The sequence below is a fragment of the Homo sapiens genome, chromosome 9 (genome assembly GCF_000001405.40).
Source record: "Homo sapiens chromosome 9, GRCh38.p14 Primary Assembly".
Taxonomy (NCBI): Eukaryota; Metazoa; Chordata; class Mammalia; order Primates; family Hominidae; genus Homo; species Homo sapiens.
Genome location: NC_000009.12, coordinates 138,094,822 through 138,116,402, shown reverse-complemented (window position 1 = coordinate 138,116,402; position 21,581 = coordinate 138,094,822). Strand labels below are relative to the sequence as shown.

At 52.8% G+C, this 21,581-nt stretch overlaps 1 protein-coding gene across 2 annotated transcripts in view, besides 3 other annotated features; it reads right to left on the bottom strand.

Annotated features, from left to right (window-relative positions):
• CACNA1B (calcium voltage-gated channel subunit alpha1 B) overlaps positions 1-21,581 on the bottom strand; it is a 246,838-nt gene that overhangs the window by 8,217 nt on the left and 217,040 nt on the right. For both annotated transcript variants that reach the window (NM_000718.4, NM_001243812.2), the window contains exons 37-42: positions 19,792-19,919; positions 13,596-13,692; positions 10,596-10,704; positions 3,898-4,005; positions 1,913-2,025; positions 724-851 (exon numbers count right to left, since the gene is read on the bottom strand). In NM_000718.4, the coding sequence (NP_000709.1) occupies positions 724-851; positions 1,913-2,025; positions 3,898-4,005; positions 10,596-10,704; positions 13,596-13,692; positions 19,792-19,919 (683 nt within the window). The remainder of the gene's footprint in view (positions 1-723; positions 852-1,912; positions 2,026-3,897; positions 4,006-10,595; positions 10,705-13,595; positions 13,693-19,791; positions 19,920-21,581) is intronic.
• Positions 11,025-11,782: an enhancer, noted in NCBI's record as "H3K4me1 hESC enhancer chr9:140999073-140999830 (GRCh37/hg19 assembly coordinates)". NCBI's record gives its function as "activates a minimal SCP1, AML or CMV promoter by ChIP-STARR-seq in naive H9 embryonic stem cells {active_cell/tissue: H9 hESC(naive)}" and the evidence as "EXISTENCE:reporter gene assay evidence [ECO:0000049][PMID:30033119]".
• Positions 14,593-15,093: an enhancer, noted in NCBI's record as "H3K4me1 hESC enhancer chr9:140995762-140996262 (GRCh37/hg19 assembly coordinates)". NCBI's record gives its function as "activates a minimal SCP1, AML or CMV promoter by ChIP-STARR-seq in primed H9 embryonic stem cells {active_cell/tissue: H9 hESC(primed)}" and the evidence as "EXISTENCE:reporter gene assay evidence [ECO:0000049][PMID:30033119]".
• Positions 18,643-19,144: an enhancer, noted in NCBI's record as "H3K27ac hESC enhancer chr9:140991711-140992212 (GRCh37/hg19 assembly coordinates)". NCBI's record gives its function as "activates a minimal SCP1, AML or CMV promoter by ChIP-STARR-seq in primed H9 embryonic stem cells {active_cell/tissue: H9 hESC(primed)}" and the evidence as "EXISTENCE:reporter gene assay evidence [ECO:0000049][PMID:30033119]".

Below are 21,581 nucleotides of genomic sequence, written 5' to 3'. Positions count from 1 at the left end.
CTGGGCCACAGTGGGAAAAAGTGATGGTTCTTGTAAGTCACCTGCTTCTGGGTGATTTGTTACCCGGAAATATTGTGGCAAGAGTTAAGTGATACAAAAGAACCTTACCAATTTCTTTACAAAATATAACAGCTTCAGAAATCAGTACCAAAGTGGAGATCTGAGAGGAAAAGTGCCTTACGGGGTTAGAAAGATCAGAGCAGTAGAAGGCCATTGACAGAAAGGGGTGGGAGATGGAGGTGGAATCTCAGCGTCTGCTGGCACGGAGGGCCGATGAGGAGCAGGGGCAGGGGCCTCTTGTCTGAAAGGGAAGCAGGTGCGTGTGTTGGGAATGGGACGTGGTGGTCTAAGTGCTGTTAGGAAGGCGGGTTCGATGAAGCACCTGTCTAATGTCACAGGAAACGATTTTAAAGTCTGCCACAGAAACCCAGCAAAGGAAGAGCCCTTGACTGCTCTCAGGCAGCAAGTACAACAAGCATCTGTAGCAAAGCCAGCCCCTGAGAACTGAGATGTGGCCTAGGGGCTCTCTGTCCTTGGAGGGTTGCTAAGGGCCCAAGTGCAGGGTCGGATGGCAGACACGCCCCTCAGGTGCCTCCAAGCTGGTGAACCCAGAGGCCAGTGGAAGTGAGGGCCAGGGAGGTTGAGGAAATGGGATGTCTGCTTCCCCCTTTACTGTCTTTGGACCTCCTCCTGTCCAGCTATGTCCTGCATCTGGATACTCACATGGCCCCGCCATTGCTGAGGGAGGTGGAACTCTTCTGTCGAAGGAAAACCCGGGCTCCTCGGAGCACAGCCGGCTGTGTCTGCTCCAGGGTGGCCTTCAGAGGGTGGAACAGGGACACAGGACCCATCTGCAAAGGAGGCAAAGGGAAGGGAAAGAGCTCCAATGGGCCTGCAATGTGGCCTCTGTGACCTGCTCTGACCATGTGGCATGGGGCAAAAGCCAGGTCATGTTCAAGCCCAGCCTAAGGGCTCTTTCCCCTTAGCAAGGGGCCGCTTACTTTCCCTGATATGTCCCTAAATATGAGCATGTGACCAAAACAGTGAAGCAAGCCAGGGGACCCTTACAGCATCTCCTCAAAACCTTGCCTGTCAGTGACTTCAGGAAAGCCATGTCACCTCTCAAAACCTCAGTTTCCCTGTCTACACAACTAGGGGATTGGACCAGATTACAGGTGGCAACAATATTCCATCTAATCATCACCTTGAATTGGCTGGTAGGAGTTAGGGTTAGGGTTGGGCTGAGCAAAATTCCGAGATTTCAGGGCTGGGGAAGACTGCTGCATGGATTAGTGATGTCTACCCCAGGTGTGAGAATGGAAGGTGTGGCCTGAGCACCACATATTCTCCATCTGAGGACTAGGTCAATGTCCCCAGAAGCCCTGGACATCTAGACAATTTTCCAGCAGACAGACTACATATGGTCACCGAAGACACGGCTGTGTGGGAAGGACGACATCGGGAAGATGGGTCCCCAAATCATCTCAGTCAAAGGCAAGAGCAGAACAGACAATGATCCTGTACCTATCTGAATTTCTTTGCTCTCTGTGTGAAGGGAAAACAGTTCTCCTTTCACCTCTCCAAACAATCCTCCTCAAATGGTCTTCACATCTTCTTCTCTTCCACCCCATAACAACCATGACACTGCCCAGCCCAGCCCTCAACTTCTGGCCCTGAGTGCTGACTTTCTATGTCAGGAGCTGCCCAGTACCGCCAGCTCATGGAAAGCATAAAGGCTGTGTGTAGTTTCTGACTCTGGGGGCCAGAGAGGTAGCTGCAAGAATCTTTCATCTTCCTTCTGAGATACTTTTTCCAAGAATGGTGTGCATCTCCCCCGTCGTCAACCCCCCGAAGGATGCCAGAGCCTCGGAGGCATCACAGTTTTCCTGGAAAACTGAGGGCCGCCAGCTACCTGGGAGAGGCCTCCAGGAGCCTGCTGCATCTGGTCTCTGGTGGTTTTGTTCTGCTTGTAGAAGTCGAATATCATCAGAGCTGCATAAACCTTCCCCACTGTCATCTCATCAGCTGGAAAAGAACACAGGAGTTGAGATTCGGAGAAGGGGGCAGAGGATCCACGGAAACAAGGTATGGAAGTAAGGTGAGGAAACAGCCGCCCCTCCCTCGCCCCCCACAAAGACTCCTGGAAATGCACTGGGACAGAGGGCTCTCAGGCAGAACATGGGGCTCGGCCACCAGGAGTTTGGCCTACCTAGGGCTCCTCCAGATGCTGACCTGGCCCTCCTGACTGCCCTGACTCCTCCTGAGGCCTCTCAAGACCGGGCTGAGGCCATCCCCACCTGCTTAATGCAGGGCCCTTCCTGTGTCTCCTCCCCAGAAAGCAAGATGGAGTTGGGCACCTTCCTGCGCTCCCTCACGTCTCCCACAAGGAGGAGTTGGGCACCTTCCTGCGCTCCCTCACGTCTCCCACAAGGAGGAGTTGGGCACCTCCCGGCGCTCCCTCACGTCTCCCACAAGATGGAGTTGGGCACCTTCCTGCGCTCCCTCACGTCTCCCACAAGGTGGAGTTGGGCACCTCCCGGCACTCCCTCACGTCTCCCACAAGATGGAGTTGGGCACCTCCCGGCGCTCCCTCACGTCTCCCACAAGATGGAGTTGGGCACCTTCCTGCGCTCCCTCACGTCTCCCACAAGGAGGAGTTGGGCACCTCCCGGCACTCCCTCACGTCTCCCGCAAGATGCAGTTGGGCACCTTCCTGCGCTCCCTCACGTCTCCCACAAGGAGGAGTTGGGCACCTTCCTGCGCTCCCTCACGTCTCCCACAAGATGGAGTTGGGCACCTCCCGGCACTCCCTCACGTCTCCCGCAAGATGCAGTTGGGCACCTTCCTGCGCTCCCTCACGTCTCCCACAAGGAGGAGTTGGGCACCTTCCTGCGCTCCCTCACGTCTCCCACAAGATGGAGTTGGGCACCTCCTCGCGCTCCCTCACGTCTCCCACAAGATGGAGTTGGGCACCTCATTGTGTTCCCTCACGTATCCCATAAGATGGAGTTGGGCACCTCCCCGTGCTCCCTCACGTCTCTCACAAGTTGGAGTTGGGCACCTCCTCGTGCTCCCTCACGTCTCCCACAAGATGGAGTTGGGCACCTCATTGTGCTCCCTCATGTATCCCATAAGATGGAGTTGGGCACCTCCCAGTGGAGTTGGGCACCTCCCCGAACTCCCTCATGCCTCTCAAAAGAAGGAGGTGTGCACGTCCCCGCGCTCCCTCACGTTCCCATAAGATGGAGTTGGGCACCTCCCCGTGCTCCCTCACGTCTCCCACAAGATGGAGTTGGGCACCTCCCCGTGCTCCCTCACGTCTCCAAGATGGAGTTGGGCACCTCCCCGTGCTCCCTCACGTCTCTCACAAGAAGGAGTTGGGCACCTCTCTGCGCTCCCTCACGTCTCCCACGAGATGCAGTTGGGCACCTCCCCATGCTCCCTCACCTCTCCAAGATGGAGTTGGGCACTTCCCTGTGCTCCCTCACGTCTCCCGCAAGATGAAGTTGGGCACCTCCCCACGCTCCCTCACGTCTCTCACAAGATGGAGTTGGGCACCTCCCCGCGCTCCCTCACGTCTCTCACAAGATGGAGTTGGGCATCTCACCGCACTCCCTCACATCCCTGTGGGATCCCCTCTTGCCTTTCCTCTGGATTTAAAAAAAATAAATTCCACACACCAGGAGCTCAACACAACAAACCCACGCTCATCTCTGCAGCTCCTCTGCCACCCAGGGCTCTCTTGGTTGGAGCTGAGGGCAGATTCATGAGGAGGTGAGCCCACCTCTCCAAGGTGGCCTGCCCTTCATCCCTCACCCTCACCTCCACAGCCCTCCAGCCACTCTGGGTGGGACAGTAAAGGTGGGGGCTGGGGGCATTTCTCACCCTCACACTTACGCTTATGGGGTGGTACCAGCAAGTCCAAAGTCTTCTGGGGCAGATTGGCCCACACAACGGAAATCTCCTTCCTCAACTCCGCGTCACACTGATGCTGCTTTGTCCCAGCTGCACCAGGATGATGGTGGGGAAGGGGAAAAGACAGAGATGTTAGGAGCAGCCCTGCAGCCGCCAATGGGGCAGAGCTGGTGCAGGTGGGGAGATGAATGGTGTAGGCGGAGATGGGGTACAGACGGTGCTGGAAGGAGGGTGCAGTGGGAACAAACGCTGATGCAGAAGCTGCTCACAGCCCTCCCTGCTGCGAGTCTGCCCAGAGGAGGAGGCAGGTGAGCAGGGCAACCACCTCATGTGCACACGTGTGTGTCCGACGTGTGTGCATGCATGTGCACTGCACGTTCGTGTGTGCATGGGACGGGCAATGAGGATTTAGGAGGAAGATGGCAGCACTCCAGGCATTCATCTATTCATTCAACAATATTTACCAAAAAACTCTCAAAAACTTCCCTTCTGGAGTTGACAACGCTTTAGTCTACCAATAAAGCAGTAATAAGTAAAAAAAAAAAAAAAGTGTACCGGAGAGTGCAAAGTGCCAAGGCAAGGAGAGCAGAGCGGGGAAGGGGAATATCAGCAGGGCTGCGGCTGTGGACAGGACGGCCATCAGTCTCCCGAGGAGGCCTGTGTGCCCTGAAGGTAAAAGGAGCCCCCGAGTACACTGGCCCTGCTGTGTCACCCGAAGGGCCAGGGAGGCCTCGGGGCAGGGTGGATGGAGGGGTGGGCAGGAGGGTTAGGGAAGGCAGTGGAGGGTTTTGAGCAGAGGAATAAAATAATTGGATTCACCTTTCTTGAACATCAGGTTTATTAAGGTACAATTCACATGCAGTGAGAGTCACCCTTTTTCATTCTCTATGAACTTTGGTGAATTCATACGCCCATGTGCCTAGCAGCACCGTCAAGGTGTGCAACAGCTGATCACTCCCAAATTCCTCTGTGCTCCCTTGAGTCGACCCCTCGTCCTACTGGCAGCCTCTGCCACCACTGATGTGTTTTGGGTCCCTATAGTTTTGCTCCAGAATGTCACGCCAATGGCATCATACAGCACACTGGCCTTTGAATCTGGCTTCTTTCACACAGTGTGGTGCATGTGAGAGTCATACACATTGCCACACGCAACTGTAGCGTGTTTCCTTTTACTCCTGAGTATTCTTTAATTGTATGAATGCACCATTTGTTTATCCATTGCCAATTGATGGACATATGAGTTGTTTACAGTTTGGGGCAATTTTGAATAAAGCTGTAAACATCTGCACATAGATTGTGTGGATGTATGTTTTCATTTCCTAAGTGCAATGGCTGGACCATAGAAGTAACGGCAAACTGTCTAAGGGGCTGCACCATTTTCTTTTCCGACTGGGAACATGTAGAATTCCAGTTGCTCTGCCCTCTCAGCACTAAGTATTGTCATTCTGAAAAGCATTTTGGCAACTCCAGTAGACTGGAGTGTAATCTCGTTGTGGTTTTTTTTTTTTTAAATTCTGGATTTGTCTAATGATTAATGACATCAAGCATTTTTGCATGTGTTTGTTTGCCTTCCATATATCTTCTTTGATGACACTTCTGTTCAAATCTTTTGTCTGTTTTGGTTGGGTTATTTTCTTAGGGAGTTGTGACAGTTCTTCATATATTAGGAATACTAATCCTATAGCAGATACGTGTTTAGCAAATATGTTCTCCAATTTTAGGCTTGTCTTTTCATTCTGGTTTTTTGTTTTGTTTTGAGACAGGGTCTCAATCTGTTGCCCAGGCTGGAGTGCAGTAGTATGATCACAGCTCACTGGAACCTCGAACACCTGGGCTCAAGCAATCCTTCCGCCGTAGCCTCCTGAGTAGCTGGGACCACAGGCATGCGCCACCATGCCCAGCTGATTTTTTAAAATTATTTTTTGTAGAGACAGAGCCTCACTTTGTTGTCCAGGCTGGTCTTGAACTCCTGGATTCCAGCAATCTTCCCACCTCTTCTCTCAAAGTTAATCAAAGCTGGGATTGCAGGTACAAGCCACTGCACTTGGCCTCATTTTTAAAAATATCTTTTGTGGTGGGGCACAGTGGCTCACTCCCGTAATTCCAGCACTATGGGAGGCCAAGGCAAGTGGATCATTTGAGGTCAGGAGTTCAAGACCAGCCTGGCCAACATGGTGAAACCCCGTCTCTACTAAAAATACAAAAATTAGTTGTGTGTGTTGAAATGTGCCTGTAATCCCAGCTACTTGGGAGGCTGAGGCAGAGGAATCGTTTGAACCCAGGAGGCAGAGACTGCAGTGAGCTGAGATTGCACCACTGCACTGCAGCCTGGGCAACAGAGCAAGACTGTCTCAAATATATATATATATGTATATATATATATATCATATAGCAAAAGTTTTGCTGTAGTTCAATTTATCGATTTTTTCCATTTGAGATGGAATCTCGGTCTGTCACCAAGGCTGGAGTACAGTGGCACTATCTTGGCTCACTGCAACCTCCGACTCCCAGGTTCAAGCAATTTTCCTGCCTCAGCCTCCCAGGGACTACAGGTGCACACCAGCAGGCCCAGCTTTTTTTAGTAGGGACGGGTTTCACCATGTTGGCCAAGTTGGTCTCAAACTCATGACCTCAGGTAATCCGCCTGCTTTGGCCTCCCAAAGTGTTGGAATTACAGGCGTGAGCCACCAACGCCTGGCCTTGTGTTTTCTATACAGGTTTCATAATTTTAGATTTTACGTTTCTGTCTACAATCCATTTCAAGTTATTTTTTGTACAGGGTAAAAGGTATGTGCTATGGATCAAGCTGTCCCCAACTCCAGTCCACATGTAGAAGCCCTAAGCCCCAGATGTGACTGTATTTGGTGACGGGGCCTGTAAGGAGGTGATCAGTTCAAGGAGTTCCTGTGGGGCCCTGATCCACAGAATCAGTGGTCTCATAGGAGACACCTGGAAATCCACTTGCTCTTTTTCTCTCCCTGCACACACAGAGGCAAGTCTGTTTGAGGACACAGCAGGACCATGGCTGTTTACCAGCCAAGAGAAGAGGCCTAAGAGTGACACCCACCTCACAAACACAAACTCTTGGACTTCTGGCTTCCAGAACTGTGAGAAATACATTTCTTTTGTCTAAGCTGTGATATTTTCTTGGGGCAGCCCGAGCAAGCTAAAACGGCATGTCAAGAATGTCTCTTTTTGTATAGGATTGTCTAAATTTCTCCAGCATCATTTGTAGAAAAGATGATCTTTTCTCCATTAATTGCCTTTCCAAGTTTGTTAAAAATCAATTGACCGTATAAGTGAGTCTATGATACATGATTGATGAAGCTTTCCTTAATTCCTACTTTATGTAAAATTTTAAAAATCATGAATGGATGTTGAATTTTGTCAAATGCTTTTTCTATACCTATTGAGATAATCATATACTTTTCCTTCTTTGATACAGTAAACTGGATTTTCAAACACTGAACCTAACTTATCCTGGGGTAAACCCCACTTGTGTCATCATATATTATCTTTTAAAATATATTCAGTTTGGCCGGGTGCAGTGGCTCACGCCTGTAATCCCAGCACTTTGGGAGGAGGCTGAGACGGGCGGATCACGAGGTCAGGAGATGGAGACCATCCTGGCTAACACGGTGAAACCCTGTCTCTACTAAAAATACAAAAAAGTTAGCCAGGCGTGGTGGCGTGCACCTGTAGTCCCAGCTACTCGGGAGGCTGAGGCAGGAGAATGGCGTGAACCCAGGAGGCAGAGCTTGTAGTGAGCCAAGATCGTGCCACTGCACTCCAGCCTGGGCAACAGAGTGAGACTCCATCTCAAAAAAAAAAAAAATTCAGTTTGCTTAAAGATTATGTTGAAGATTTAAAAAAATCTATGTTTATAAGGGATATTCGTCTGTAGTTTTCTTTTCTGGTCATGTCTTTGTCTAGTTTTGGTATCAGAGCAAAGCTGGCCTCTGAAAATAAAATAAGTTGGAAAATATTCCCTTTTTCCACTTTTTGGAAGAGTCTATACAGAATTGGCATTATTTCTTCCCTAAACAGTTGGTAGACTTCAATAAAGAAGCCATTTGGACCTGGGATTGTCTTTCTTGGAAGGTTTTTCCACTCTAAACTTAATTTATTTAATATATATGGTATTATGAAGCTTTTGCTTTTTTTTTTTTTTTTTTTTTTGAGATGGGGTTTCACTCTGTTGCCCAGGCTATAGTGCAGTGGCACCATCACAGCTCATTCCTCCTACCTCAGCCTCCCCAAGCAGCTGGGAGCACAGGCGTTCACCACCACATTCAGCTAATTTTTTAATATTTTGTAGAGCCAGGGGCTCCCTGTGTTGCCCGGACTGGTCTCAAACTCCTGAGCTCAAGTGATCCTCCTCCCTCAACCTCAAAAACTGCTGGGATTACAGGCATAAGCCAGGGCACCTGGCCTGGTTATCTCTTTTTTTTTTTTTTTTGTCCTCTGGTGTTGAAACTGAAGGTTATCTATTCTTTTTTTTTTGAGACAGAGTCTCACTCTGTCACCCAGACTGGAGTGCAGTGGCGCAATCTCGGCTCACTGCAAGCTCTGCCTCCTGGGTTCACGCCATTCTCCTGCCTCAGCCTCCCGAGTAGCTGGGACTACAGGCGCCCGCCACCATGCCCGGCTAATTTTTTGTATTTTAGTAGAGACGGGGTTTCACTGTGTTGTCCAGGCTGGACTTGAACTTCTGAGCTCAGGCAATCTGCCTGCCTTGGCCTCCCAAAGTGCTAGGACTACAGACGTGAGCCACTGCGCCCGGCCATTAGTCTTTTTTTTAACCTGATCACTCTGGCTGTTGTGTTGAAGGCAGACAGAAGGGGCCAAGGGCAGAAGTGGATGAATTAGAAGCTGCTGCAGCAACAGCTGAGAGCCAGAGGAGGCGGCAATGGGGTAAGGGAGAGGAGTGGCCACATTTTGGATATATTTTAAAGACAGAGTCAAGAAAATATGAAAGAGAAGGCATGAATCAGAAATGGGATAAGGAAGGAGGAGAAAAGGATGATCCTCAGCCTGTGCAACACAGCGAACCCCCATCTCTAAAAAATATACAAAAACTAGTATGGAGGAGTGGTGCCTGCAATCCCAGCACTTTGGGAGGCCGAGGCAGGAGGATCACTTGAGCCTGGGAGGTGGAGGCTGCAGTGAGCCGTGACTGCACCACTGCACTCCAGCCTGGGTGACACAGTGAGACCCTATATAAATAAATAAATAAATAAATAAATAAATAAATAAATAAATAAATAAAATAAGATGATTTCTAAGGTTTCGGCTTAAGCATTGACTGAGATAGGGAAGGCTGTGGGGGAAAATTTGAAGTTCAGGAGAGAAGTCAGGAGATTAATGTTATTTAAAGCCATGGGAATAGGTGAGATGATAAAGGAGTGAGTGTAGAGAGAACATTCCATGGCACAAAGGCACACCCAAAGTTTGTGGGATCGGAGAAACAGATAAAAAAGGTTCAAAGAGAAGAAAATGCAAATGGAGAAACGGCCATGGACAGCCCATGAGCTGGGGATGTGCCTCAGCCTTTGAGTCGAGCAACGTGGAGGCCTGGAGACCCCAAGGGCAGCTCTGGTGAAGCTGGGAAGAGCCCCCAGCATGTGGGAAAGGGAAATCAGAGACAACCTCTCAAGAGCAGGGCATTAGAAAGGAGAGAATAGGGAAGTCGACAGAGGGGAAGATAACTTTTTTGGTTGTTTTCGAGACGGAGTCTTGCTCTGTCACCAGGCTGGAGTGCCGTGGTACAATCTCAGCTCACTGCAACCTCCGCCTCCCAGGTTCAAGCCTGCCTCAGCCTCCTGAATAGCTAGGAATACAGGCACGTGCCACCACCACGCCCACCTAATTTTTGTATTTTTAGTAGAGATGGGGTTTCACCATGTTGGCCAGGATGGTGTCCATCTCCTGACCTCGTGATCCGCCCACCTCGGCCTCCCAAAGTGCTGGGATTACAGGCATGAGCCACCGCGCCCAGCGAACTTTTTGAAGATGGAGGAAATAATCGGGTGTTTATATGCTGACACAAATAACCCAGTAGACAGGGCAAGAAACAGTATGGCATTGCCACTACGGCACCCTTGGGGAGACGTAAGTGAGGCTTGGCACACAAAGCAGGAGATGGGGCAGACGCAGGGGGGTGGGGCTGGGGCAGGGCCCTCTGGGGCTGTAATCTCCTCTGTGGTGGGGAAGGTGGACGTGGGGAAGAACACACTACAGGCTCCTTCTCTCCTTGCTTTGGCATCGCTCTGTGGTACTGTCCATCAGATCAGGGAAAGACCGGATGGGCTCACTATGGGAGGGGGCCAAGGGCATGCAGGCTCGTCCCCAGGGAGGGCGCTGGCTGTGGTGAGGCTTGACCAGGCTGTGTCCTGGTTCCACCACCAGCTGGCTCTGAATTACCTGGGCAATTTATGAAATCTCACCATGCCTCAGTTTCCTTACCTGAAAATGGGATCATTGCAGTGCTAATGTGCAGACGGTTACCAGGCGAAAAAGCCAGTGCCCCAGGGTGGGTATCCTGTGCAGCTGTCCTCAGACCCCTCCAGACACAGCTGGCCCCTCACCCTCCTCCCTGCGTGTCCTCCTGGGGCTGACACTGAGGGCGGAGGTGCACATCCCTGGGTCCAGGGCCCTCCTTCCGAGGCTGCCTTGCTCACCTGGGGCCAGCTTGATCTCCAGTGCCGTCCGGATGAGGGCCATCAGCGTGGACGTGAAGTGAACAGTCATGTCCTCGTTGGAGATGGGCATGTTCATGCGAACCAGGCGCTAGGGACAAGCAGGGCCGGTCAGGGCCAGGCCTGCTGGGGTCACCCCCCACCCCAAGACTACGCAATGATGGGGTCCCTGGATGCTGGGCTGGGCATCCCAGTGGTGGTGCCTGCAGGTGCCTAGGCCTGAGTGAGGTGGGGCGGGTGGGAGTTTTGCCAGCATTCACACTCTCCCCTGGACTCCCCGCCCCACAAATCTAGCTGAGGACCCTCCTGGCTGCAGAAAAGTAGAACTCCAGGTAAAGACTGGAGCCTTGATCCCTCTGAAAGCACAGCCACCTCCTCACCCTGAGGGACCCCTGCCTGTGGCTGAATGTAGGAGTGTAGCCTTGGCTGGGGAGGAGGAGCAGCAGCCACAGACAGAAGAGGTCCCTGTGCTCATTGCTCTGCCCACCCCCATCTTCTCCTCCCACCACTTCGATCATCTGGACAAGGAGTAGGTGGTCCAGGGTGCCTCTCTGGGGCCCAGCTCCCAGTGGGGGCCCCTACAGGTGACATCCTGGTTTTAGCTCAGGTCCAGTGAGGCTTCTGCCTCTCACCACCCAGCATGAGGCCTGGGAGAGATGCTCGATGTCACTAAAAGGCAGAGCCCATCTCTGCGCAAGGCAGCTCCTGCTGCTGGAAGGACAGGAACAGATGGGACTTCCCAGGGCTGCAGGCTGAGGCTGCTACACTTCAGAGTGGGCTGGGGCAGTGTCCTGCAGCTCTGCTCCGTCTCCCTCTCAGGTGGACAGCCTGTTGCCAGTTTTCAGGGACAGAACAGCTGGAGACGAGCTCGTGTCTGCACCACAGTCCTCTGGCCCCAGCCAGTGCTGCCCAGAGACCCAGGCTCTAAGAACTGAAGAGGCCCCAAGGAGGAAATGCATCTCAAGTGTGCCTGGAATATTTTGAGCGTGGGGAGCAAGGAGCTGGCCAAGTGGAGCCCCAGGAGCACTGTCCAGCTAGAGACAGGAGCTCCTCCCCAGGGTCTGCCTGTCCTTGCCCAAGCCTGCAACCTGTGGCAGGGCAGCCTCTTCTCTAGGGAGGGCCATACAGCCCTGCCCCTAGCATCATGGCCCCAAATCCAGAGTCCTCAGCCTAATAGCTAGTGGGGTGTGGATGCAAGCCGGGCTGGAGACATGAGCCTGACTCTGGCCCCGAATGCTGGCAAAGCCCCACTTGCCACGTCCAGTCCTAGTCCCAGGGCTTTGCACAGCATGTGTGTGCAGCACAACAGGAGTAAACGGCTTCCCGGAGAATGGCATCCCTGCAGACCAGCATGAATGGCGGTGTGAGAGGCCAAGGAATTCCTCTCCCACAGGGCAGGCGTTGGGGGGCGTTGGGGATAGCAGTGAGGGCAGAGCAGGCAGGTGATTTACAAGAAGGAAGAGCTCCGCCCAGGGCACTGGAGGGCTGCCCTCCCCAGGGGTGCCATCAGCCCACTCCAGGCCCCAAAGGGCCAAGAATCTCAGGAAGAAGCCAAGAGGCAAGGCCAGGGCAAACAAACAGGTGTCTCTGCCCTGGGCCCTCCAAGGTGCAGTGCTCTGGGCATCTCCTGGACCCTCCTCAGCTCATCTGGCCCTTCTGCCCCCACCCTGAGGCCTCCCTTGGTCTCTCCATGCCCAGAACCTTGGAGTCAGCCAGCACAGCTGGGTGGGGCTCCAAAGGCTGCTCCATCATGGCCCTGCCTGCTTGCCCCGGCGCCAAGTGTGGACAGAGCTCTCCTTCTTGGGGACAAAGCTACAGCCTTGCATGCAGAACCCCCAGGCAGGCACAATGCAGGGGCAGGGCAGGGGCTGAGGATGGCTTGGAGGAGCCACTTGGCTCCCACAGGCTGCACTGAGTCGGGTGACAAAGACCTAGAGTCAGGGCACAGAGCCAGTGTGGACAACAGCTGTCCACAGCACCAGAGAGGAAAGCTCTGGCAGGAAGCTTCCTCAGACAGACTCAGGAAAGTCTTCCTCAGGGAGGATCAGAAAAGCTCTAGGCACGTGTTGGCTGAACCACAGGCCGTTTGCCGGAGAGCAGTGGGGGCCTCAGGAGGGCTCTTGAGTAGGTGGGTGGGTGCTGGGGGAACGAAGGTGCTTACACATGGAGGGTATGAGGTGGGACTGGGGACAGCTGGGCAGATGGAACAGTTTTAGGGCTGGGCCATGTGATCTGCTTGCCCACCCAGGAGGGAGGCCTGGAGGCATCCCTCGATTTACCCCCTTCTTGGCAACTCAGCATCCCATGACTCCTGGGCCCCGAGGCCATCCCCATCCTCCAGCAGCCCTCTGAGGCCCCAGGAATAATAGCAAGATGCCTCTCCCCAGCACCCCTTTCCTTCTCAGTGCCACAGTGCCTCTTCCCCACCATGGAGCCTAGAAAGTCCCTGGAGACTGCAGCCTGGGCCCAGAGAGCCTCTGCACTTGCTGAGCTGGGGAGGGGGTTGTACAGAAGCACCAGAGGCCCTGCAGGCCCCACCTGCCCCCAGGGCCAGACCCAGAGGGCTGGACAGCTCCATCCATACCAGGGGCTTAGGGCTTTGTTCTGAGCCCAGAACAAAAACAATCTCTGTCAAACAAGTGGTCTGTCCCCTCATTCCTAGGAAAGGAAGGGAGGGAGAAAAGGCAGGGAGGAGGGTCTAGTTCTGTCTTCCTGAGCCTCCAGGGGGCTCTCAAAGGGGGCAGCTCAGGTTGTGGGGACAAGAGGCCAGTGAGACATCATGGTGGCCACATCCCTCTGTCTGGGAAGGAAGCTGGGATGGGGCTGAAGAGAAAGACACAGTGAGGCAGCCGGGGGCGCACAGCAGAGCGGCAGACAGACAGCCGGGCACCCTGAAAGGGAGAGGAGCTGGGAGAGCCAGCAAGCACCCCTCAGCAAGCACACACAGCCTCCTGGGGGGCGGGTTGCAGGGTCAGGGTCTACCTTGTAAGCAACTCGAGCAGGGCATTTCTTCCCCAGCCCCAGAGGCGGGGACATGTGTTTCAGCATCTCAAACATGTCATTGTAACTGATGCGCCCACTGGAAACCCGTCCCAGCGAGGCCAGGGCACAGTGGGGTGGTCCACAGGAGGAGCGGCAGCAGGAGGGGAGCGGGGAGGGGAGCGGGGTAGGGGCAGGGAGGAAGCAGACAAGAAAACAGAGCCAGTTAATCAAAGTGTCGGATTCAAAGCCCAAAATCAAAATAAATAAAATGAGGGATTTCTCTGCTTGGCTTGACCCCCTCCTGGCCCCCCACCCCCGAGCCTCACCTCCTCACTCCAGCCCCACGCGGGGCAGTGGGCGGGGGTGGCGTCTGAGCTAATGAACATGGAGGGGTGAGGAAGGGCTGCATCGGGGCGGCTTTGGGTTGATAATTTCTGATTTTACTCTTTTAAAAATCACAGTGAATGCCAATCAGAAAAGAGCTGGTCCACCCTGCCAGAAGAGCTGGCAGGCGGGGTCAGGTGGCAGATGAGGCAGTGGCTGAGAACCACGGCAGAGACATCAGCTTTCCTCACGGTCAGATTTGCTTCCAAGTGAGGCTAGAGGCTAAAAAGGTGGAGAAGATCTGAAACAAACCAGAAAACTAAACAGGGAGCCCTGAAGCTGTACAGCCAAAACCTAACCTTGGGGCAAGTCCTGCTTCAAGCCCAGAGACGCCCGAGGCCAGCCCAGGGCAGGGCTGCTGCTGGGGCTCAGGGCTGGGTGGGAAATGGGAGACTGCGGGAGGGGGGAGGAGCTGGCAGGACATGGCCTGGGGCCACCTTGCACCAGCTCTGACAGCAAAGGGGCAGGTTGCAGGATCTAGGAACCTAAAGGCTCCGATGACAGAGTCTTCCCAAGTAGAGAGGCCACGAGGCCTGGGGCCTACCTCCAACCCTGGGACACCTGCCTGTGGGCTTGGGGTCCTAGAGACACAGCCAGATTCAGGTGGCCCAGGAGAGAAAGGGGACAGCCTCTTCCTGGCAGATGGATCTGCCCTGGGGCCTTGCCCTCCTCCCACGGTTCCAGACCAGGGGCTCCTTGGCTGAGCTGAGCGCATCACTCCAGAGGCAAAGCAGGACGGCTTGTCTTTGGCCCCCACTCTGCCTCTGCCCTTTCCTCCCCCAGGGACTGGAGAGCCACTGGGTTACTGGGCTCTTCCAACCCAGAGGACGGCTGCTCCTGGGAGGCCTGTGCCCGTGCTCCCTTCCTCTGGGGCCCTCGGCCTTTGGCCTGACCATCAGCTCACTCTCGAGAGCTCGGAGGAAAAACCGGGCAAGTCGGCTGCTTCCTTGATGCAGGAGGGACCTAGCCCCCATCTCCCACCCAGCTAGCTGATCCCAACCAGAAAGCTTTCTGTGCACTCTCAAAAGGCTGCCTGTCCCCAGCCAGCTAGAAGGGTCAGGGGAGATTAGACAGGGAACCAAAGCGTCCAGGAGGCTGGAGTGCGGGGCAGGACAGGAGGAAAGAAAGGTGAGGCGTCGTCATTCCCAAACCAGGCAGGGAGTGTGTGCTGTGTGCGTTTCGGGCAGGGAAGTATGTTGGATGGAGGCTCTGAAGTTGCAAACCTTGTAGGCCAACCTACGAGGGCAGTTCTTCCCTAAGCCAACGGGTGGCGCAATACAACGCAACAAACTGTACATATCCTTATAATGAATCCGGCAACTGGAAAGGAAATGTCACAGGTTATGGCAACAAAGGCAGGATGGAGCCCGACCCTCCCGCCCGCCCAGCCTGTGATGGGAAGACCGACCTCGCGCAGGCGTGGCGGCGGAGGTGAGGGGTGCACTGGACAGGTGGCACCTCGCCGGGGTACTGGGGCTTGGAGCTCCCCGGGAGGTGTGGCAACCCCAGCGAAATTTCCGGAGCCCGATGTGTGCAGGAGCCGCTCCACACAGAACACTGCCCTGCCCCTCCCTCTCGGTCAGCTCTTCCTCTCACTCCCTGAGTGACGATGCTCCCTGGGCCTCCCAGGTCAGCCAAACCCTCTGACGCCTGGCTTTCTCACCACCACAGCAAGGCAGGTCTGCTTCTCTATCACAGCAACCTCAGAGGCCCATACCCATTTGCCTCCTGACTGACCCTGTCTCCCTGAACACTCTGTGTCCTCCCCTGGAAGCCCTGGTCCAGCTAAGGACCTCCTCTCATCGTAGGCTGGCATCCTTGGATCACCACCAATGCTCCTCTCTCCTACAGTGTAGCCCCCTCGGTCCAATCAGCTCCAAATCATGTTGAATTTCCTTCTGTAAAAGGGAAGAAACAGGAAGCCCCACCTCGGCCTCACCAAAGATGTTTGCTAAGGTTGTGGCAGCCAAGGGACCACCACGGGGGGCTGGACACACGTGAGACCCCCCACCCTCCCCAGCTGTCCCTGCCCATCAAGCCCAGGTGGAAAGTGTGGGCCTGACACCATCACTCCTCGATGCAAGGACTGAGCCCACTGTCTACAACGCAAAATCAAAGCGACTTGTTCAACCAATTTCAATGCCTTTCTCAAACGGTCTCAGCCTTCCTTGCAGCCCCTCTGCAATGCACTCTCCTCTCCAGCCTGACAGAAGCCACCTGGCCTCCCTCTTCCCTCTGCCCCACCTCCCATCCCCAGCTCAATCCATCCTATTTCTCTAGTGCTCAATCCTTCCTATTCCTTTAAGTTCAGCTCAAATGGCACCTCCTCTCATTCTTCAGGCCAGACATGGCCTCTCCTTCCTCAGAAATGCCCTGGCCTTGAGCTACAGTCACCATGTGGTCTCACTGCCAAGCCTGGCTGAGTGTTCTGACAGCATGTGCCTGTTTCACCTTTGGGCCCCTGCCCCAGCACATGGCAGATGCCCAGGAGATGTTATTAGACAGATGGGTGGACACAGAAATGAGCAGCCAGATTGCTGCAAGAAGTGTGACTGCAATTCTCCTCTCAAGTCACCAGGCTTCACACCACAGGGTTGAAGCAACAACAATAGGAAGGCTGGGAAAAGCAGCACCAGGGTGAACAGTTTCGTGCCTTCAGAATCCACCGACACAGGCACATGCGCACCACAGGCACGTGTACACCACAGACATGTGCACACCCACAGGCACACACATGCACACCCACACAGGCACATGCGCACCACAGGCACATGCACACCACAGGCACATGCACACCACAGGCACGAGTACACCACAGGCACGTGCACACCCACAGGCACACACAGGCACATACGCACCACGGTGGCACACACACAAAGGCACATGCACACACAGGCACGTGCACACCACAGACACGTGCACACCACAGGCACACACGGGCATGTGCACATCCACAGGCACACACATGCACACATGGGCATATGCACACACAGGTGCACATGTCATTCATACACACATCCACATACAACCACACAGGCATGCACGCACATTCAGTTCACTTGCACACATATACACACAGGCACACATATATACAATCATATGTGCACACACAAACGTCAACATGCACACACGTGCGCGCCTTGTGCATGCACATGTGCACAAAACACACATGTAGACATCTGTGTGCATGCGTGCACAACACACATGTACACATGCACAGAGTGCACATGTGGTCACACTGTGCAAACACGCACACAACACAGCCATGTACATGCACACATGTCCTGTTTGTGCACCACACATGTGCACACACAACTCAGGAAATCTCATAAAATTTTGTTGTTGTTTCAAAGTTTCTCCCAAAGAACGAGGAGCCATAGAGTGGTCCCCTGGGAAATGACTACATCACTGCGTTTGTCACAGAGGCTACCAAAAAGGCTCAAGGTGCCCTGTGCTCTGCTCAGGACACAGGATCCAGGCCCAATCTGCTCAGCTGCCTCTGCTGGGCCCCTCGGCCTGTCCTGGCCATCTTGGACTACGTAGGGTGAGCCCAGGCTGCTCGTGGGGGCAGAATCATGTGTTGCTCACAGGTCACGTCTGTGCTATCTCAAGGCCCGCAGGTTTTGTGTGTTATTTTGTGCGTGCTATCTCTGGGGTGAGGCCTGTATTCTGTTGTTTACTCTTCAGTAAGCACTTCTCACATCCCCGACTGCCTATGTCTTCTAAGGACCCCTGCTCTGAGACTCTGGCTTTGGTATGGTACCACTGTGCATGGTAACCAAGCTGCCATCTGGCCCAAGTCCACTTCCCGTTCTTCCTGCCTCTGCTCTTGCCGGCGGCTGACTGTGGAAGGCCCGGGCGTAGCTCATAAAGATTGGGGAATGTTGTCATCCTCTCACAGGCCTTTGTTGATCTGCCTTTGCCCTTCAGTACTAACTACATGCTATAAAGTATCTCTGTTTTCTGCAACACAGTCTCCTCCAGAAAAAATACACCCAGAAAAAGCAGCGACTCTCTAAACCACACATTCAGGGTGACCTGCCTAGAATTCACCTAAATCCTGCCTCGGCTGGAGTCTCTCCTGCCCTTTGCCTAACAAGGTCTAGGTCTTCAATGTGGTCAGTCTCCCCCAGGTCGACTGGGCTTACTTGACCACAGGTCCTGTGTGAATGTGCCTGAGCCTGTCCCTCCCAGCATGAAGTAAGTATCACAGGGCAAACATATTGCTGCATCGGACATGACAGGGTTCTCGCAAGCCACGGAAATTGTCATATACACTGTGAAACACAGACAATCTCTACGTCTGTTTTGCACTGCGTAAAAACTGTATATTTCCGACTCAAATGAAAAACACCCACAGAGATGCTGTGTGCCTGGAAGAGCCTGGACAGGAGAGGCCCCATCCCAGGGCCCCCGATGCTGCCAGTGGCTCTGGACCTTGTCCAGACTGGGAAGGGCCCGTGCAGCACCCTCTGGATCCTCACTAGGAAGGTGGGGGTGCTCCGGGGAGGCTGAGTGGAAAGGAGGGTGGGGAAGTCTAGTCGGGCTCCCAGGCCTTTTGTGTCTGTGGAGGGCTCCCTCTGCTGAGCTGCAGTTTAAGCAAAACCAGGCAGAACCCAGGAGCTCTGTGGGCAGTAGGACCTCACCATGAGGGGTCTGACCACGTCCTGCCGGCCCTCCCCCAGTAAGGGCACTGGGGGCAGAGGAGTGCGAGGGGGCCTGGGCAGGCTGAGGAGCTCAGAGAGAGAAGGCAGGCCTCGGTGGCACCCACGGTTCCCTCATCCCCCTAGGGCACGGGGAGTGGTGGATGTCTACGCACTCACTGAGAGCTGCTCATCCACGATCATTTCCCGGGCACACGCTGTGAGTGAGGTGCTAGCAGGCCTAGTGGCCTTGCAGGGAGCAGCCCACAGTAGACATTGCTTGAGTGAGTGAGCGAGCAAGTAAATGAGGAACGAGTGATGGAAGGAATGGACAAACAGAAAGATGGAGAAGCCATGCTGCCTGACCTGTCTTCCTTCCCGAATGAGCTCTCAGCCCTGCTGAGATGCCATGCTGTACGGGACCCCCATGGATCCTGATCTCAAACAGCTTCACCTTCTGACCCAAACCATGCCCTTCATGCGACTCCTCCTCTGTCTGGAAAGGCACCACCCCTCGCCTTTGAAACAAGTAAACCTTTCCCACGATGACAGATGATAGACAAGGGTCTTAAACACACTACAGCCTTCCTGGTAGCTCATCTGTCAAAAAAGTTCACCAAGCACCCACACTATATGCAGCCTGGGCTGGGGACACAGAGGTGCATGTTGGCCCCTGTCCCCAAAAGAAAGAGCAGAGGGAGACTCCTGAGCCCCTTAGGGAGAATGTCCTAAAACCCTACATCGAGTCTCACAAGGACGCTATGGCTGTGCTGTCTCCACACACCCTCCCACAAGCCCTCCATGAGCCCTCACATGACAGGCCTTGAAAGAAGACAGTAAATTTCAGCAGAAGACCTGAGTCTCACAAGCCCCTTGAAAACCTTCCATGACTCCTGGTACCTCCCAAGGAACTGAACTCAAGGTCTCAAAAGACCCTTATCACTTTATGCAGTCCGGGCCACTGCGCGAAGGCACACGAGATGGAAAAGGGAGGTGCTGCTCGGAGGGGACATCACTGCTGCTCTACACGAAACAGGACAGATCCCTAGGCCCCAAACCAAAACCTGAGGGGGTGCTCACTTGAAACATGTCTGAAGCCACCAGGCCCATCCCAAGATCTATGGGCATGGACCACCCCCAAGGACCACAGAGCACCACGGCTCACTTACCACGCAGCCGGGTCGTATTCAGCCCAGACCCGGATGAACTCATCCAAGTGGTGAGGACCTAGGATGGAAGAGTCCCGCGTGAGGTACTCAAAATTGTCCATGATCACAGCCACAAAGAGGTTCAACATCTGCAGGACAGGAAGGAGAACAGGTGACGGAGAGAGACCTCAGCCTGCCCTCCCCGCCGCCCCCCACCACTCTCCAGTGTGTGTGAAGCTCTCAGGATAGCAGGGGTCACTCTGATTTGACCAGCACATGCCCGATCTGCTCTCCCCATGGGACTTCCAAGACTTCCTGCCTTCACGGGGTTCTGGAATCCACATGCTAGTGTCTTGCCCTATTTCAGGCCCCGGAGTTTCCTGTCCATGACCCTCCCTCCCTTCCTCTCTGTGATCACATTGTCTTTCCCTCTCAGACTGGCCTTCCATGAAATCCGTGACGTGCAGTTAACAGTTTGGACTCTACGGGCCAACAATTTGGGTTCTTATTTTAAAATTAAGTTTAAAGTCCCACAACATACAATTACCCATTTTAAAATGTACAGTTCAGGGGCATTTAGTGTATTCACAATATTGTGCAACCATCTCTCTCGTTTCAAAACTTTTTTCGTCGTTCCCGAAGAATACCTCATACACATTGGGTAATCACCACCCCAATCCCCGCCCCCCCAACCCCCTGGCAACCACCAATCTCCTTTCTGTTTCTATGGCTTTGTCTATTCTGGAATTTCACATAAAGGAATCACACAATATGATTTGATGTCTGGCTTCTTTCACTTAGCTTAATGTTTTCAAGGTTCATCCATATTGTAGTATCTATTAGTACTTCACTTCTTTTTATGGCTGAATAACATTCCAGTGGTAATACACCACATTCATTCACTGATAGGCATTTGGGTTGTTTCTGCCTTTTGACTATTATGATTCATGTTGCCATAAACATTCATGTACAAGTTTCTATGCAGATACATCTTTTCATTTCTCTTGGGTATATACCTAGGAGTGAAATTACTGGGTCATATGGTAATTCTATGCTTCATTTTTTTTTAGGAACTGCCAAACTTCTTCCATAGCAGCTGGTGCATTTTACATTCCTACTGGCAATGTACAACAGTTCCTCCTTCTCCACATCCTTGTCGACACTTGTTATTTTCAATTTTTAGAAAAATTATTGTTATAGCTGTCATGGTGGATGTAAAGAGGTATCTCATTGTAGTTTTGATTTGCATTTCCTTGATGACCAAAGATGTTGAATATCTTTTCATGTGATTGTTTGCCATTTGCATATCTTTTTTAGAGAAATGCCTACTCTTATCCCCTGCCATTTAAAAAATTGAGCTGTTTGGTTTTTTGTTGTTGAGGTGTAGGAGTTCTTTATATATGCTGAATATTAACCCCTTATTAAATATGTGATTTGCAAGTATTTTGTTCTGTACATTGTATTTCCACATATTTGATAATGTCCTTTGACGTACAAAAATTTTAAATTTTGATGTAGTCTAATTTATCTATTTTTTCTTTGGTTGCTTATGATTTTGGTGTCAAATCTAAGAATCCATCACCAATTCTGAGGTCCTGAAGATTTATCCTTTATGTATTCTTCTAATAGTTTCATAATTTTTGCTATTCTATTAGGTTTTTGATTGACTGAGATAATTTTGTATATTGAGTGAGGTAGAGGTCCAACCTCATTCTTTTGCATGTGGATATCCAGTTTTCTCCATATTATTTGTTGAAAAGATTATTCTCTCCCTCACTGAATTATCATGGAAAGAAAGACAATTCTTTCCC